The 18,567-nt window shown below is 36.4% G+C and overlaps 1 protein-coding gene and 1 pseudogene across 6 annotated transcripts in view; both read right to left on the bottom strand.

Moving 5' to 3' along the window:
• Window positions 1–18,567, bottom strand: part of FNDC3A (fibronectin type III domain containing 3A) — a 234,489-nt gene that overhangs the window by 100,508 nt on the left and 115,414 nt on the right. Inside the window, exon 1 of one of the 6 annotated variants that reach the window (XM_011534997.4) lies at window positions 11,597–11,655. The exons of the other annotated variants lie outside the window; for them this stretch is intronic. The gene's annotated coding sequence lies outside the window, so the exon portion shown is untranslated. Of the gene's footprint in view, window positions 1–11,596; window positions 11,656–18,567 lie in introns of those variants that run through there. 6 annotated transcript variants of the gene reach the window in all.
• RNY3P2 (RNY3 pseudogene 2) lies at window positions 13,783–13,880 on the bottom strand (annotated as a pseudogene).

Here is an 18,567-nt window from a genome sequence, read left to right as displayed (position 1 = left end):
CAAGTATATTGGTTGATGATACTCAGTAAATAGTTATAATATGTAAAAGTATGATCACCATGTTTTCAAAAATAACCACATAGTGCAGAGTACATACTAGGCATCATTTGGAGTGTTTTACTTGCGTTAACTCACTTAATCCTAACAAGTGAAGTGAGCATCATTTCCAGGTAAGAAAACTGAAGCAGAGTAACATGCCAAGGGCACAAAGCGAGGCAAAGGCAGGATTATCTAATAATAAGGCTATACTTTTCAAAAAGTGTAAACTATGTTCAAAGGCCCCATCTCACACAAAGGTGGAAAACAACTGGCAAAGGATAACCTAGAGAAATAGGTCTCAATAAATATATGTAAGACACCCCAGAGGAGATAAGACAGTAAGGGCCTATTCTTACAAGTGGGGAAAGGTAATTGTTAACTTCAAAATTCCTATGAAAAGGCAGGGTTGCCCTGAAAAACGAGACCAAAGGGCAAGGAGTCTCCTGGTCTCAACAGAATGTACTCATATACGTTAGACCCAGCCCCCCTGTAAATCCGACCATGTCTCTGATCTTCAGCCCCTAAACAAAAAGCAAGCCTCTGCAGCCCACCTTCTTATTTTGGCTCACATTTGCACACAGCCTGTATTTCTATTTCTTGACTATTTAACTTATCATCTCCTTTCAATCCTTTCCATTATGCTCACTAGAAAGTTTTTTTCCATTATAAATAAATTCTCCTATATCCTCAACCTTTTTACAGAACACTTGTTCCTGTGTTGCCTTGAAATGAAGCATGGATGTCCTGTAGAAAACTTTCCCCAGCATGCCCCAGGAGCAGAGACTTCCTATCCTCTCCTGAAGCAGTGTTGGTAGTCTGCAGATACTCCAAGGCTGCTTCCCTTCACCACTGTTGTTCCTGTTTCATGCTAAAGTTCCTTCTTCCTTGAGATCACGGCATATGTGCATACAACCCTCTACCCCTTCTCAATGCTTTAAGGCTGAGTCCTCATTTATTGAGAACTTTGGCGCTGTGATCAATTTTGTTCTCTATCCCAACTCTTGTCTATCAGCATGACTTTAATGTCCAAAATCTAGGCTTAAAATTCCTTGAACTCGTGTCTTTCATTCTATTTTTAGTAACCCATGTTCAAAGATACATCCTGGAACTTATTACTTAGAACTCCACTATCTCATCTTTGAAATATCAAACTTTCATGTGGCCATCATATCTTTCTTTCATCTCTCCAGTTCTCTTTCTTCTACATTTGTTCTTCATAGTGATCTCCCTTTTCTCCTGATCCAACACTGCCTTCATAGCCTGATTTCCTTTCTCATCCATGTCTTCCTTTGACTTCCCCATCTCCTGAAAATCTCCAAGTTCAATCCGTCTTCTCTTACACCTGAGCTGTAGAAATCAAGCAGTACTCAGACTGGCATGTTTATAAATTTAGTATCTTCAGCCTTAACTCAGCTGTCAGCACTGCTCAGGAATCCTTTCATGAATCTTTCCCTGGTCAATCCCTTACACTGTTTTCTAGGATGATTATCAGAGATTCTCGTTACACTTTAAGAGCCCTCCCCAACCTGACTTCAACCATATCTCGAAATTGAACTCTTCACATTATTTGACATGAAACTGAACTCTTGATGTTATGGAACTGAACTCAATATTACATACACACTTTTCTAATTCCTTTCCTCTATTTGCAGAAGAAGCATTGTTCCTTCACTAGATCAAAGGTATCTTTCCTCTTTTACTCTTGATCTGATCCTCCACTTGGACTTGGCTTCACTGGTCATTTCCGTCCTGTCAGGTATTTTTACCTTTTCCTTTGTTCAGTCTCTTTGAACCATTGCATCTGTGCCCATAAACATGGTAAAGTTTCACACATAAACCATGCATATCATCCATCTCTCACTGACACTTTTTTTCTGCCCCATCATACCATCCAGCTACCACTCTTTTCTCAAACTTCTCAAAATTAACAGTAACTCTATTTTCTAACATAACTCTATATAACTCTACTTTCTAACATAACTCTATATAACATTAACTCTATAACATGACTCTATTTTCTGACCTTACATTCACTTTCACATTTTAAATAAAATTTTGATTATGCAATATTTGATACATACAAAAGAAAATAGTGCAAGTCATTAAAGTGACTGTTTCAAATCCACCATCCAAGCCAAGAAACAGATCATACCAACACTGTTGCATCCATGTGCTCCTTCACCATCTAATCCATCACTTTGTGCCACTCATGTCTCCATTATCCTGAATTTTGAGTTTATTCTTACCTTTCTTTTAAAAATAATTTCCTACAAAAAAATCACATATATCCCTAAACAATATTATGATTTCTAGGACTTATCTATGTAGTTTCATATAGCTGTAGTTTCCTCATTTTCATTTATGTTTTTATGTAAATAACTATAATTTGTTTATTCTGTCATTAGCTTTTGGGCTCTTTTCAGTTTCTGTTGTTGTTGGTTTTTTTTTTTTTTTTTTTTGCTTTCATTCACTTAACAAACATATATAGATTATCTACAATGTGCCAGATAGTGTTCTGGGCACTAGAGGAAGAAAATAATAACATGGTAAATAAGTAAATCATATTCAAGTAAATCACGAAGTATATTTGAAAGTGATAAATGCTATAAAATAAAAAAGAGAGGCTGGGTGTGCTGCTTCGCGCCTGTAATGCCGGCACTTTGGGAAGCTGAGGTGGATCACTTGAGCCCAGGAGTTCAAGACTAGACTTGACAACATAGTGAGACCCCATCTCCATAAAAAATCTCAAAAACTGAGTTGGGTGTGGTGGTGCATGCCTGTGGTCCCAGTTATTCAGGAGGCTGAGGCGGGAATCTTGCTTGAGCCTAGGAAGCTGAGATAACAGCGAGCTGTGATCCTGCCACTGCACTCCAGCCTGGACAACAGAGTGAGACCCCATCTCAAAAGAAACAAATAAAACAGAGTAGGGTAAAAAGGATTTTAAGTACTAAGATAGGCTGATGGTGAGGGGGAAGATTGAATACTGCAATTTAAAATACAGACATCAGTTTAGGTTTCAATGAGAAGGTCACATTTGAACCAAGACTTGAAAGAAGTGTGGGAGTGGGCCATATGGATATCTGAGGGAAGAACATTCTACACAGAGGGAGCAACCAGTGTAAAGGCCCTAAGGGGGAACATGACTGGCATGTTTAAGACTTAACAAGGACACCACTGTCACCAGAGCAGCATGAGTGAAGGGGGAGAAAAGGAGTGAGGTTAGAGTGATTAAGAGGGAAATGAGCTACACTCTGTTAGGCCTCATAGGTTACTGTATGCTTTTACTTTGAGTAAAATAAGAGCCATTGCTGGATTTTAAAACATGATCTAAGTTATATTAAAAAAAATTCATCTGACTTATACATATTGCTGGTAAGTATATGGTACAACCATTTTGCAAAACTGGCAATATCTACTAAACTTGAACATATGCATACTCTATGATCTAGTAATTCTACTTTTAAGTATATGGGCAGTGGAAATGCTTACATATAACACCAACCGAAGGATGTAATTTAGAACATTCATAGCAGTACTAATTTTAATAGCACAAAAGTGGATGAAGCGTATTTGGGGATGATCAGGTATTCAGATTTGGACATGTTACGTTAGAAATGTCTATTAGTCATCCAAATGGAGATTTCAACTAGCAGGCAGTTCATTTTACTATTCTGGAGTTCAAGGAAATACTTACCTAGTCTAGAGATACAAATTCCAGAGTCTTTGGTAGATAGGCTTTAAATCCATGAGACTGGATGACATCAACAAAGGAATTAAAGTAGATAGAGAAGACAATCTAATGCTATCTCTTAGAGAGAAGCATGGATCAGAACACTGCTGCTATCTCTATGTCTCTCAGCTCACATGTGCAAATGTTTCTTTAAGGTATGTACCTAAGAGAGGAAATGCTGTGTCTTAGGGTTTTGTGAATGTTAGTTTTTATAGGATAGTGCCACATAGTTTTCCCGAGTATATTAATTTATATTCCTACCAGCCAGGCATGTATAAGAAGTTCCACTGATTCACATTCCCTCCATTACTTGGTATTTAGATTTTTAAATTTTTGCCAATCTCACTTTGATCTTATTTTGCATTACCCAGTCCATGTTTCCCACCTATTCTTCTACTGGGTAGTCTTTTTTAAAAAATAGATTGGGAAGAGTTTTTATGTATTCTGGATACTAATTCCTTACGGTTACATTGGTTGCAAATATACTCTTCCTAGTTTATGACTTATATTTTTCATATATTTTATGATGTACCAAAGTTCTTAATTGTAATGGAGTCAAATTTACTGATCATTTGATAGTTAGCATTTTGTGTGTTTGTATCCTAAAAAAACTTTCTCTACTCTGTAGTCATGAAGATACTCTCTCTTTATTATTATTTTTAAGTTTATCCTTTCACATAAGTCTTTAAGTCTTCAAGCATTAATTTTGGGGTAAGGTATGAGAAAAGGATCTGATTCCATTTTAATCCAAATGGATAACCAACTGTCCCAGCATTGTTTCTTGCTCCCTATCCCCTAGGACATGTCTCTTACTTTTTGTGGGCACAATAATGCAATTAAAATTCTTACAGAAGATCTTTTTTTAATAAGAGGATGGTACCTAGAGCAGAGCATCCATTCTACCAAATGACTTGAAATGGAAGTCTCCAAAATCACATTTCTTTTCTTTTCTTTTTTTTCTTTTCTTTTTGAGACGTAGTCTCACTCTGTCACCTGGGCCACCTGGGCTGGAGTGCAGTGGCGCGATCTCAGCTCACTGCAAGCTCTGCCTCCTGGGTTCACGCCATTCTCCTGCCTCAGCATCCCGAGTAGCTGGGACTACAGGCGCCCGCCACCATGCCTGCCTAATTTTTTGTATTTTTAGTAGAGATGGGATTTCAGTGTTAGCCAGGATGGTATGGATCTCCTGACCTCGTGATCAACCCACCTCGGCCTCCCAAAGTACTGGGATTACAGGCATGAGCCACTGCGCCCGGCCCCAAAATCACATTGCAACCCACCATAATCAGGCTTTTGTCCAGCCCACTCTACTGAAACTGCACTGGCAAAAGTCACTGAGATGAAATTCTTACTTACCAAATCCAATGAACATTGCTAACAACTCTCTTAAATATTCTTCCTTAACATCTGAAATATTAGTTTCTCCTAGTTTCCTTTCTACCTCCTGATCATACTTTTTCAATTTCTTTAATGGCTTCTTGTCTTCTGTTCTTCCTTAAGTGTTTATTTTCCTGGGAGTTTTGCTCTTGGTCCACTTCCCTTATTCTACATGATCTCTCAAGATGATCTTATTTACTACTCTCATGAAAGATTATCATTCTGTATCTCATCCAGACTTTTTCTTGAGCTCTAGATCTATAATACTTAATTTACATAAAACTCAAAACCAGTTATTTTTTCCATCAATAGTCACTCCGCCTCTGTGTTTCCCATGATAAGTTAATCTTAAGCCAGAAATGTGAGAATAATCCTAGACTCTATTTTCCCCCCATCTCAATTTCCACATCATCTATTTGGAAGTTCTGACAGTTTTATCTCCTAAATATCTCTCAAATCCATGTTCTCTTCTACTCCATTGCTATTGCCTTAGCAGCACTAGGCTCTTTCTAGAACTATTCCAGTATTCTCCTAATGGGTCTCCTTGCCCCCAGTCCCTAGCAATTGATACATCTCTCACACTAATGCTAACCTGATCTAAAAAACAAATTTCATTGTATCCTCCTCTGCTTATAACCCAGAGACCATTCTGTATTGTGATGAGATGAAGTCCAAATTCTTTACTGTAGCCTACTATGCTTCCACATGAACTGGGTGATGCCACTCAAACTGGTAAAATACCAGTCTATCCTTGTCAATACTGTGTGAACCACATTTGTTTTCACTGGGATCAAAATGTCTTCAAATGGAATTTTGTTACTATTTTGCTATTTTATCATTCATTTTATTATAATTTGTTATAGCTTAAACATAAGGCAGCATAAGGTAGTGATGAAGAACATGGACTCAGCTAGCCCATCTAATTCTAATGACAGCTTATAGCTGTGAGACCTTTCAAGTTACTTAACCTCTTTGTATCTTAGTTTTCTCACATGTAAACTGGAAATAATTATTCTATTTCATAGAGATATTATGCAGATTAAATAAGTTCATATTTGTACAGCACTTAGAACAGTGTTTGGTACACAGTAAGTGCTTAAGCAATGTCACCTAAGCACAGTGCTAGTGCTTGTATTGACAAGCCTACCTGAAAATCAATAGTTCAGGAATGGTAGTTAATATGTTAAAATATTATGAAGAAATCCAAACAACTGCTATGACATGCCATGCTATTAAGATAGCTCTCTGCAAAATATCTGAGATAATATTACAAAAATAAGCAGGTACATTTTTAAGTTTGCTAAAATTATCATATAATTAAACAAGAATGGAAAAATGAAAAATATGCTGGTCACTGCATAATGCATTCCTATAAACTGTAATCTCCTCAATGCATCCTCTGTGTTTATTCCTATAGAAAAATTGTTTGACACATATACTCAAATTAATGAGGTCTTTAGGGAACAAAAAATACAAGCATCCTGTATTGTCCTCACTATAACCAAAAGGTCCTTGAATGTAGTGACCACGTCACTAACACTGAGGATGAGAACTCTGTGGCAAATGGGAGAATAGTAAGGGTATGAAGTTAAGTCTTGTTAAGTTTTCTTAGAAGGGTTCTGAAGGTAGGAGTCAATATCGCCTAAAGCACACAAAAAGCACTGACATTTGGATGGAAAACCCAACACTATTATGCCCTAAGTATCTGCTAGTTACATATAATAAAGCAAAATGTACCTATATTTATCTCACTGAAACTATTGTGAAGAAAGATCCTAAACTGTTTCTAGTAAGTAAGGGATATTATATGGAAAACAATCAGTGAATTAGTAGCTCAACCCATTCCAAAAGACAATTTAAGGTGATTTAAGATATATGTAGCACCAAAACCAAACCAAAACACAAGCCATGATAAATTGAAGAAAAGGGAAAATTAATATAGAAAAAACAATAAGAATAAAGAGTAAGCTTAAAAAAATCAAGAAAAAAAAAGCTACGCTTGCTTCATGCCTGTAATCCCAGCATTTGGGGAGGCTGAGGTGGGAGGAATGCTTAAGCCCAAGAGTTAGAGACCAGCCTGGGCAAAACAGTGAGATAAATAAATACATAAAAATTTAAAAAGGAGGAAGGCTAGTCTTATGCTCTTACTAGAGGATGAGCAATAAAAGCTCTCTGCTTTGTGTAAGCTGAAACATGATTAAAATCAGGTACCAAGGACCACGCTGTTAAGTTGGTTAAGTTAGTTCTTCCCTTCTGCAGTTTAAGTATTGCCCACACTGCCATACAACATGATTCCAATGATTTGGCTTAAAAAAAAAAAAAAAAAAAAAACTAAAGCAGGTATAGTCCAAGATGACTTCTACCATATATAAAATTCAGTAAAGCATCCATAAATGTCCAACTTTTAGCAACATGTCCTCCAATATAGTTGCAAAATGAACAGCTACAACAGATGAATCAGTTGATTTGCAGAAAGAGATTGTCAGCTATGAGGCAAATTAAAAGAAGAGTTGATTTTGATTTTTTTTTTCCTGGCAAACCAGATCAGCTGTTTATTAAGGCTGCTGTTAGATTATAATAATCAGGGTCATTTGCATGTCCAAAAATTTAAAAGGTAGACTCGTTCAGCTAAACAAAGAGTGGTTTCAGGTCACTAAGATATAAAAGGATGGGATGTGAGGTACACTCTTGTACTCTTCTACCTATTTTTATCTGATATTTCAAAAGACTGACTCTGACCCTGACTCTGATTCTTGTGGCAGTATTAAAGTGCAGGTTCTGAATAAGCATCTAAATAATATGTGTTAAACTCATGCAGCTTAGAGCTTAATTGACACATGTCCACAGAGTCGAGGGACCAAGGAAAGATCAATGAAATCTGCAACTAACCAGGTGCTCCATGGGAAGGAGTCTATTGCCAGGGAGTGACTGACAATGAAATAAGCAAATAGTCTAAAGGGAGATAAGGGGAGTGAAGAATTAGAAACTATAATTTTGTCCTTGGGCACAAATCAAACCTTGTTTCTTCTCCTTTTAACTGTTTCTCATTTTCTCACCCAGGTTTTACCTCTTATCCCGTTCAGAGGCCTTAATCAACCTGCATATCTCACCAGATAGTCGCTGATTTCTTTCTCTATAATTTTCCCCTTTACTTATACTAAGATGTCGATTCAACAAAAGTTTTACTTTACATTATACATGCTAATAGGAAAGCAATGTGAGGATCAGTCTAAGGCCAAATATATTTTGGATTGATTTGAGGGGTGAGGGTGCCTGGATAAGGTTAGGAGGTTAGATATTAACCAGAAAATGGTCAATACAGAAGTTATCTGTGTTCTAAGTTAGTATTTCCCAAACATTTGGATTTATGTGACAGCAAAATTTCAAAACAAATTCTGGGGACTCATTAACCAGCTTTTCATTAGGCCAAGTAAAGACATTAAAAGTTAAGAAGAAATTAAGAACGGATAGAAGGAAGTCTATCCTATATTGTCACATCAATTCATAAAAAGAGGATACTGTAACTTCAAACATTATAAAAGATTTAACTTCAGAATTTTTAAAAAGTCTTAAGTAAATAAATTTAACTTAATGAAAAACCACTACATTATCTTTATTATTCCTATTTCCTAGACTGATGAAATATCCCTACATCTATGGAAAAGGGTTTGGGAATAACGCTTAGCGTAAGAGGGATAGGGATTTATCTTTCAGGCTGGCTGAGCTCTGGTGACAGGAAGAAGGAGGAAACAGAGCAGAGGTAGGATAATTATATTATCATCATCCAATCAAGAACACTTCTGAAAGTGAAAAAGGGGGCTAAAAATCATTAAAAATACATCATTTGGTATGTTTCTTTATTGACTGATATATTTTAATTACACTGAGGGAGATAAAGTTCTAACAAAATCTATCGAAAAATAAAATGCTTTATTAAAAAACATATGCAAGTACATTAAAGAGCATTTAAAGGTATTCTTCATATTGAGTATCTGAATATTGGAGTAATATAAATGGAACAATTATTCTTAGTATATATGTATTTTAATTTCTTAGCTATACCTGTCTTTAATTCCTTATCACTGGTATTTAATTGAAAAATTTCTTCTTTCAAATAGTCATCCTAATTTTTAAAATAAAATTGCTTACAATGTTGTATTTTATGGTTTATAAACTTAAAGCTGCTGATACCTTCAATTGACTCTTTTTTGTAATATTTTAAGACTACAACATTTATATTAAGAAAAACTGTTTCTAAGGTGCTATCTGGTAAGCTGGGAGCATATCTGCTAAGTGGAGGATACTCTCAGTTCTATTTTTTGTTTCTTATCGAGATGTGTAAATACTTCAAATATTTTTACAATATTAAGTACTATAAAAATGTTACATATTTTTACAAATCTCACTGAATCGTCTTTATTTTTCTTCTGCATGTTTCACCAAATTTAGACCTTGTTTTTGAGCTCATTATTGCTGAGAGAGTTTACTGCAAGATAAAAAAGTACTGCCAAGTAACAGTTATACACAATACAATAAGTGATAAAAATCATTCAAGCTATTTTTTATATATTCAGTGGCAGAAATATTTAATTTCCTCATATTTATTTATTTAACCTATATGCTTCCCACTGGTCCTTCCACTTGGTGCCCTGGTGACACCAAGTGGCCAGCAAAGACAGCAGCATCAAATACTTCTGCCACTACTACCAGGAAACTGAAAGGAGTTAGTTCCCAGTCCTTTAAATCTAAGCACACTTTCACTTACTGTTAATTAAGACTTGCTTCTGGCAAGGGTCAGGAAGAGAGAATGATTTATTTTGGGTTGTCTAAGATTTAACCACAAGTTTAAAGTGAAAAAGAGACAGATGAGCTACTTACTAGAGATCAAGGTGGAAGCTGGAAATTCAAAATGGTGGTCAACCAAATCTATCACAACTTATTTTAATGAACTACTAATAATATTGTTTTAAAAATGATAAATCCAAGACAAATGTCATACCAGTTAGATATCAAGATGAGGCAAAAACCAGAACTGTCTTAGACAAATTGGGATATAAGGTCCCCTTACTAATAAGGAATGCTTATTTATTAAGGCTATGAAACACCTAGCAACATTTATTCATATAAGGCAGGCAATTAGTGTAAGCCTTGATCTAGGAACTCACCAAATTGGTGAGTCAGAACTTGGGAACAGAATAAGGAAGTTACAGGAGAAAGAGAAAAGATCAAGGTCATTATTCATGCTTAGATGTTTAGAGACCTTTCTTTTCCTTGGAAATTTATTATTCTTTTTAAAGTTTGGATAAAGCAGAATGCTTAAATTAGGGGCCTAAGTATGATTCAGAATTGTGGATAATTTCATTATCTGTGTACAAGTAACTGAAAATTTCTATGATTAGATTTGCAGCACAATTAGATGTATCAGTGATAAACACTAAGTAGAGTACATTTGAAGAATGACTTATGGTTAGAATCTACCTTTAGCACTAAATTGAACTGCATATAAATAGAAAACTTGAAGGAGATGTGTTTACCAAGCACCTGTTTCTAAACAAGAAATTATTTTTAGTGCACTTGTTTAGAAAGCTGCAGAGGCTGTGATATTAATGTCCATGAATGCAGCAGGTTGTGAACATTACTATTTTTAGTATCAGCCTAATATGAACAATGATGAATCATTCTTTTGTTATTTTAGTAGGAAGGAGCACTTAGGATTTACTGCAGCACATTAGGTTAACTATGCCTCAATAACTGAACACCCACACTTTGACATCACACGGCAGTGATATGGATCAGTGACGCAAATCCTGTCAGGATCAAACATTAAGGCCACAGACTGAAAAAAACTGCTCAAGTGACAAAGCAGGCTAGTCATCTACCATGCAGACTGCATTAAATCAGTACTGCTAGTGTCAAAAAGGGTTGTGCTAGGTTCTCTTTTTACATAATATCTAAACTTTTTTATTTTAATTATAGATTGCCCATACAACAGAATCTATATGTTAGTTTCCTCACAGCTTCTGTGCTTTAAGGTCTGGGCCCTTAGAAACATGTCTTAAGGTTCTACTAGCCATCTGAATTATCTGTAAAAAGGCTTCTGTATCTAGGCTTTTTAGACTATCTTCTGCAGATATGTTGCCATTTATTAAGCATTTTATATAATATGCTGTGCTTGACAAAATATCACTTTGATTCAGATTTGGAGCACTACACTATGGCCTTACAATTTACTGTAATTTCAGGTCTTCTTCCCAATAGTCACTTCTTCTTTGGGCCTATAATTTTAAAACTTTATTAGTCTTTTCGGGCATCAAAATATCAATTTTTTAATGGTTACAGCTGGATGGCTTATGAGTAATCATATGTATAAGGTTTCGAAATATATTATCCCTGAAAACACACCCACACCTAATTGGAAATCTTCTCTTCTATAAAAGGAACAGAACTTACCCCTGGAGGCTTGGCACAGAATGTTCACATCCTGCTGTAGGTTCTCCCAAAAAGAAACTAGGCCTGTACACTTAAAGCATTACCCTTCCTGTTAGTTTATGTTGTAAGACTGGCACTTCCCAGGGGAACTGGAAAACCAAACAGAGATCAAAGCTGGAGGCACATCTAATAACCTTTCATTCTGTCATCATTACTCTGACATAGACTAACATGAAAACATGCCAAGGGCCTTTTCCCATACCCTCAGGCTTTTGCTTTGGTGGCGTTTCCTCAACCAGTGTTGTTTCTTAAGAAAAAGTGTTTAAAAAAAAAATGTAAAAAAGCAAGGGCTTTCCCTCATTCTAAGTTTTTTTTTTTTTTAACTGCTAATCATCTAAAAGAAATATTTGGAAAATATAAAAACTGCTGAGACAGTTGTTCTCATAGTTCTTCTTGTCTGTGAAATTTGTAAATCATCCTAGTTTCTTCTCACCCTCCACACTGAGCTTCCAGGTCTCATTCTTATTACTATAGTTTTGGTTATCCCCTGCTTAAAATCCTTCAATGGTTCCCTTTCCTTTCAGAATAAAATGTGAAATCTCTAGCGTGGCATATAACGGTACTTGCAAAGTAGCATATATTTTTAGTCTCATTTTCAGATACTCTCCCATGCAGTCTCTTCTCTAAGCTACCTCTCTAATCACAGTTTTTCCGTTTCCTCTAATCTGTGTGTGCTTGGGCTTTGCACATGCTGTTCCTTCTGTCTCGAAGATACTTTTCTATTTATTTTTTTCTTCTGGCTAACTTCTACTTCTTCAAGCATCATATTTTCCTAAGCACTCAATGACTTCCCTATGCTTGCTCAGGTATTCCTACCCTGGCCTCCCACATAAACTCCATCATAGCACTTAGCATGGCCTTCTTTGTTTTAACTGTGGGTTACTTTTCTGTCTGTTGTACTAGGCTGTGAGGCAAGGCCTAAGTCTTTCAAATAACTGTCAAGAATGAGTTGCCCCTCAGGACATGAAAAGGCACTTAAAACAAATTCTCTCTCTAGGGAAAAGAGCACACATTCAGTGACTGTGTTTTCTGTGTTCTAGCAAGTGGCTGAATACAGAAGACTGGACACAAAAGAAGTGAGAAACTTCAGCACATTAAGACTAAAAATAATATTAAAATATTGAAATATGATGGTATTTTACTGTAATGATGAAAGGATTTTCCAAAAATATCGAAGGATTACATGATAAAGCAAAAGGGAATGTCAAAGACAGAACTCTGTTAAACCATAAAGAATGGAAACTGGATTTGATTAAAATTCATTCTTTAAAAGTGAATGAACATCTTCAAACAATGGTATCACATGGGTTTTGGGATCAGAGAATCCAATGCTAACTCTACTCAACTCTGGTAGAGTCATAATTTTAACCTCTGGAGCCATAGAGAAAATAACATACCTGTAAAGAAATCCTGTCCTGCAACCATTATGTTATTTTGTGATTCTTATGGTTAATGGTGACATGTTTGGATGCACTTTAATCAAAGACCATAACCACAGTCAGGAGCACAAGTCACACTTCTCTAGATACAGGAAGAAACTTTCTGAAAAATGAAATTATGCTTAAAGTGTTTGTTGCCATAACAGAGGAAAACTTAGAGAATGAATCCTAGATAAGTTGGAGGAGAATGATTTTTCTATCTCTATATATCTAGGTAGTGTCTAAAAATCACATCCAACATGCTGCCATACAAACAAAGGAACCAGGAAAGATCTTTTCTGTTTCCTAGAACATTTTCTGCAGATGGTACAAAAGCATGTAAATGACAGTAGATAAATGCACGGTAGTTTCTTTATAACGTTATATAAGTATTCTCTGGACATCCTAGCCTCATCTCAGGTATGCTCCTGGAAAAAAATTACAAAGGTTTGCCCCTGGGTTAGAATGCTTAATTAGTACTTCCCTGAATCAAAAAATGTGGTAGAAGTTACTACAAGGCTAAACTAAGGTAAATCTCTGTGTTTGTGATTCAGTTGTCCTTCTCACCAGGATATCCTTCTAATGAAGCTAACTTTGGAGAGTATGGTTTTTATTTTTAATAAGGAAGGTGACCTTTCTAGACATTCTTTCATAGTGTTAAGAAAATAAATCCTCAAGGTATAAAGATTCTCTACCTTGAGTTTCCTTTATATTTTATTTTATTTTCTTAGGCTAGTCAAGTGAAGCAGTGGGAGTGGAAAGGAAACAAAGAAATCCATAACGGGATGTGATCAATTAGTTGTAAACACCACTGCATTTGGACCAGCGGGTTTCTTATCTATCCCGAGTGGCAGAATCCTTTAACCCAGTTCTATATTATGATATGAAATTTAGACATTTCTTTTCTTCCACTCCCTTGATTTTTAGAAAACTGATGGACTACAATGATGTGTTGATAACCTTCATATGTCTGATTTTTTAGTTTTTACTAGTTTAAAAATCCACTTATCTGCACCAAAAACACCATGGTATCTCACTTTCCTGAATGAGCTTAGGGTCTTAATTTAAAAAAATATATATACATTTTTAAATAAAGTTGGACTAAACAATTTAAAAGGGGTTAAAACTTCACTTGTATAATTATTTATGAAATTCATGTTGACATTATCAAATTATATGTAAAGTATAAAGAAGAAAAACCTCCTATAATCCTACCATATACTTGGAGGAAATATGCCACAATTATTTTCCATGGATCTGTATTTTCCATGCAAAAGTAATGTTTTTTCTTATTACAAAAGAGTTAATTTTGTTGAAATCCTTAATAATATATATCAAATAAATGGTCCTGATTAAAGCAAACACCTAATTAATAAAACTTTTTAATCTTCCATTTTTGAGAGAAAAAGAATAGAGTAGGCTCACCCTGTAAGTGTCCTCTTGGAAGTATTTTCTAGTCCCTGGATTGGTTTGAATGCTCTTGCTATATGCTTCCATAGTGCCTTTTCTTTTTCTTTTTCAATCACAACACTTCTCTCACTTCATCGAATTCCTTAAATCTTCTTTCCTAGGAAACTGTAAACTTCATGGGAGTCAGGGATACAGTCTATGTTGCTTATCACTACATCTCCAGTGTTTTGGAATAGTGATTGCAAATATTAGGTTAAGAATTATTTACATAAAGTAATGGGTTTAAAAAGCAACCCCCAGGCCATATTCTAATCTAGATTCAACTCTATCTTCTACATAATCTACAACTATATAGTACAATCAGTATTATTAATACTTACAATGATTTAGGGCACTGAAAGACTGAATTATTTTCAGTATATTCTGCTTACCATGGCTGAATTTGTTATTCTATAAATATTTTCAGTAAAATGAATTGGAAAAGCCTTCTGGTTTTCAGTTAATCAGAAAGGTATTTTACAAGGACACTCTGTGCTTAGGTTAAGGTTTAAAGCACACACCTTTTACGCCTATTGTTATTAACTCTAATAATATCATCTTTAGCAAAAATATCTTAAAACCAATTGATGAAGATTTCTTTCCAAAAAAGTAGAATCAAATGATATTAGTCACCCCACCCCACCTCTGCCATTTAGGGTAATCAAAATTAAGGTATTTCTTAGGTATAAATGAAGAAAGAGCCTTTTTCAAACTCTCATACTCAGTGTTTTGTTTAATATAAAATCTGTATCGTTCACTCTTTAAAATTATTTCAGTGAATCACTCCTCAAAACAGAGGATTAGTAAAGGAAATAAAACATGTTCTCTCAATGCTCTGAGGAAAAACTACATCTTGCAATTAAAACCAAAAGAGACTCTGTTTGCCCCAGCATCATGCAATATAAATCATGTAAAGCTAAATGGCACTTTTTGATAGAGATAGTCTTGAGGTTCAAAGATAAATTTATGAGTAGAGTATTTGGTATAATAATTTGGTTTCAGCATTCAATTTTGAAATATATTAAATATTTCAGGAAGCAAGTACATGGTTTGGAGGAACTAATCATTGTTGGACTATGAGTAGAGCACCATCTTAGGTACTCTATGTTTGAGAAGTCACTGTAAGGTAACTGTTAGAAGTATGCACTCTGCAGCCAGACTGCCTGAGTTCAGGTCGCAGCTGAGTCATTCAGTAACTGGTAACTACAGGCGAATTATTAACCTGTGTCTCAATTTCTTCGTATATAAAATGAAGATAATAGTTAGCTGAAAGGGTTGCTGGGAGGACTGAATAGGTTAGTCACATGTAGAGTGTTTACAACACTAACTGGTACAGGGATCGTTCGATAACCATTAGCTAATATATATGCTAATTAAATAACAAAGTCACTTTCTCTCCCTTTTTTCATTACTTGAGGATCTATAAGGCAATATCTGTGCAATTAGAAATGACTAAGTGCTGAAATAAAGACAATTCTATTGTTATATGCCTAAAATAAGTAAATAAACATTTACTGAATTTCTGTATGTATGGGGCAGTTGTAAGTGCTACGGGGAGGAGAGCGGAGGGGAATGTAGCCTACAAAGAGTATACTACCACTGTATCATGGTTTTGTATCATAAATCAGTTGAGAAAGGCTGATGTGGGCCTACACAACTGTATGTTTAAACTCCCCAGTTGATTCTAAGATATCTTGGTGCAGGTAAAAATTATTCTTTAGAAATCAAAAAGACTTTCATTTGGGTTCTAGATCCACCAATAACTAGGTATGAGGCTTTTTATGAATCTCAGGTTCCTCTCTTAAGATTTAAAGTTGATTAATGCAATCAATGCATACAACACAATCTTGGCAGACAATGAGCACCTAATTACATTATTAAAGATGGACTCTGAGACAGAAAAAAAAGACAAATAACAATATAGACCAATAAACAACATGCCAGATTAGAGATATAAGCCTGACAATATATATATTACAAGAAATTAAGGAGCACTTTTTTTTTTTTTTAACATTGGAGTGGTCAGAAAGAGTCTCAAAATAGATGTAACTAGTATTGGGTTTTGAAGGGCTGGAAAGATTCAGAAAGCTCTCACCTGTATGTATGCATGCTCCTGTGTGATTTTTATAAGAAGGAACAATGTGAACAAAGGTATGAAGGCGGTGTGATGATTAATACTGAGTGTCAACTTGATTGGATTGAAGGATACAAAGTACTGATCCTGGGTATGTCTGTGAGGGTTGCCAAAGGATTTGAGTTAGTGGGCTGGGAAAGGCAGACCTAACCTTAATCTGGATGGGCACAACCTAATCAGCTGCCAATACCGCTAGAAGATAAGAAGGCAGAAAAATGGAAAAAGAGAGACTGTTGAGACATTCCTCCTAAGGTGAAGGATAAGTTGCTGCATTTGGCCCCTCCTACAACCAAGAAAGAGGCACAATGCCTAGTGGGCCTAACTGGATTTTGGAGGCAACACATTCCTCATCTGGGTATGTTACTTCAGCCCATTTATCGAGTGACCTGAAAGGCTGCCAGTTTAAGTGGGCTCCAGAACAGGAGAAAGCTCTGCAACAGGTCCAGGCTGCTGTGCAAGCTGCTCTGTCACTTGGGGCATATGACCCAGCAGATCCAATGGTGCTTGAGGTGTCAGTGGCAGATAGGGATGCTGTTTGGAGCCTTTGGCAGGCCCCCATAGGTGAATCACAGCAAAGACCTCTAGGATTTTGGGGCAAGGCCCTGCCATCTTCCGCAGATAACAACTCTCCTTTGGAGAGACAGCTCTTGGCCCGTTACTGGGCTTTGGTGGAAACTGAATATTTGACTATGGGTCATCAAGTCACCATGTGACCTAACTGCCCATCATGAACTGGGTGCTTTCTGACCCATCTAGCCATAAAGTGGTTTATGCATGGCAGCATTCCATCATCAAATGGAAGTGATCGAGCTTGAGCAGGTCTTGCAGGCACAAGTAAGTTACATGAGGAAGTGGCTCAAATGCCCATAGTCTCCACTCCTGCCACCCTGCCTTCTCTCCCCCAGCCTGCACCTATGGCCTCATGGAGAGTTCCCTATGATCAGTTGACACAGGAAGAGAAGATAGGGCCTGGTTCACAAATGGATCTGCATGATATGCAGGCATCACCCAAAAGTGAACAGCTGCAGCACTACAGTCCCTTTCTAGGACATTCTTGAAGGACAACAGTGAAGGGAAATCTTCCCAGTGGGCAGAACTTCAAGCAGTGCAACTGGTTGTGTACTCTGCATGGAAGTAGAAATGGCCAGATGTGTGATTACATACAGATTCATGGGCTGTACCCAATGGTTTAGCTGGATGGTCAGGGACTTCATTCCTCTGAGCATCTTTAAGAGAGTTGTTTTAAAGTCTCTGTTTTCTTTCACAGCCCCAGGAGTTGTTTTTTTTTTTTTAAGTCTGTATTTAGTAGATCTACCACTGAGTCTTTTTTCATGAACAATTTCTGTTTATTTCTTTTTTTTTCCTTTGAATGGGCAATACTTTTCTGTTTCTTTGTATGCCTTGTAATCTTTTTTTGTTGAAAACTGGACATTTAAATCTAATCATGTAGAAACTCTGGAAATCAGTTTCTTCTCTTTCCCCAGAGTTGGCTGTTTTTTGTTATTGTTCTGATTTTTTTATTGTTGTAGACTATCTCTTTGCCAAGGATCAGCCTGAGATGTACATTTAAGGTCTTCTGAGAGCCTATGTCTTTCCCTGAGCATGTATGGTCATTTTCAGTTTTCCCTGTAAAAGCAGATTTGAGACAGAGTCTTGCTATGTTGCCCAGGCTGGAGTGCAACAGCACAAGCATAGCTCACTGCAACCTTGAACTCCTGGGCTCAAGCAATCCTGCTGCCTCAGCCTTCCGAGTAGCTGGGACTACAGGCATACACCACCATGCCTAATTTTTAAAAAATTTTCAGTAGTAGAGATGAGGTCTCACTGTGTTGTCTTGAACTCCTGGCCTCAAACGATCCTCCTACCTTGGCCTCCCAAAGTGTCGTGATTACAGGCATGAGCCACTGAGCCTGGCCTATGGTACATGTTGA

This window comes from Homo sapiens, chromosome 13, assembly GCF_000001405.40.
Source record: "Homo sapiens chromosome 13, GRCh38.p14 Primary Assembly".
Lineage (NCBI taxonomy): Eukaryota > Metazoa > Chordata > Mammalia > Primates > Hominidae > Homo > Homo sapiens.
The sequence above is the reverse complement of the archived record's forward strand: the minus strand, read 5'-3'. Positions and strand labels throughout refer to the sequence as shown.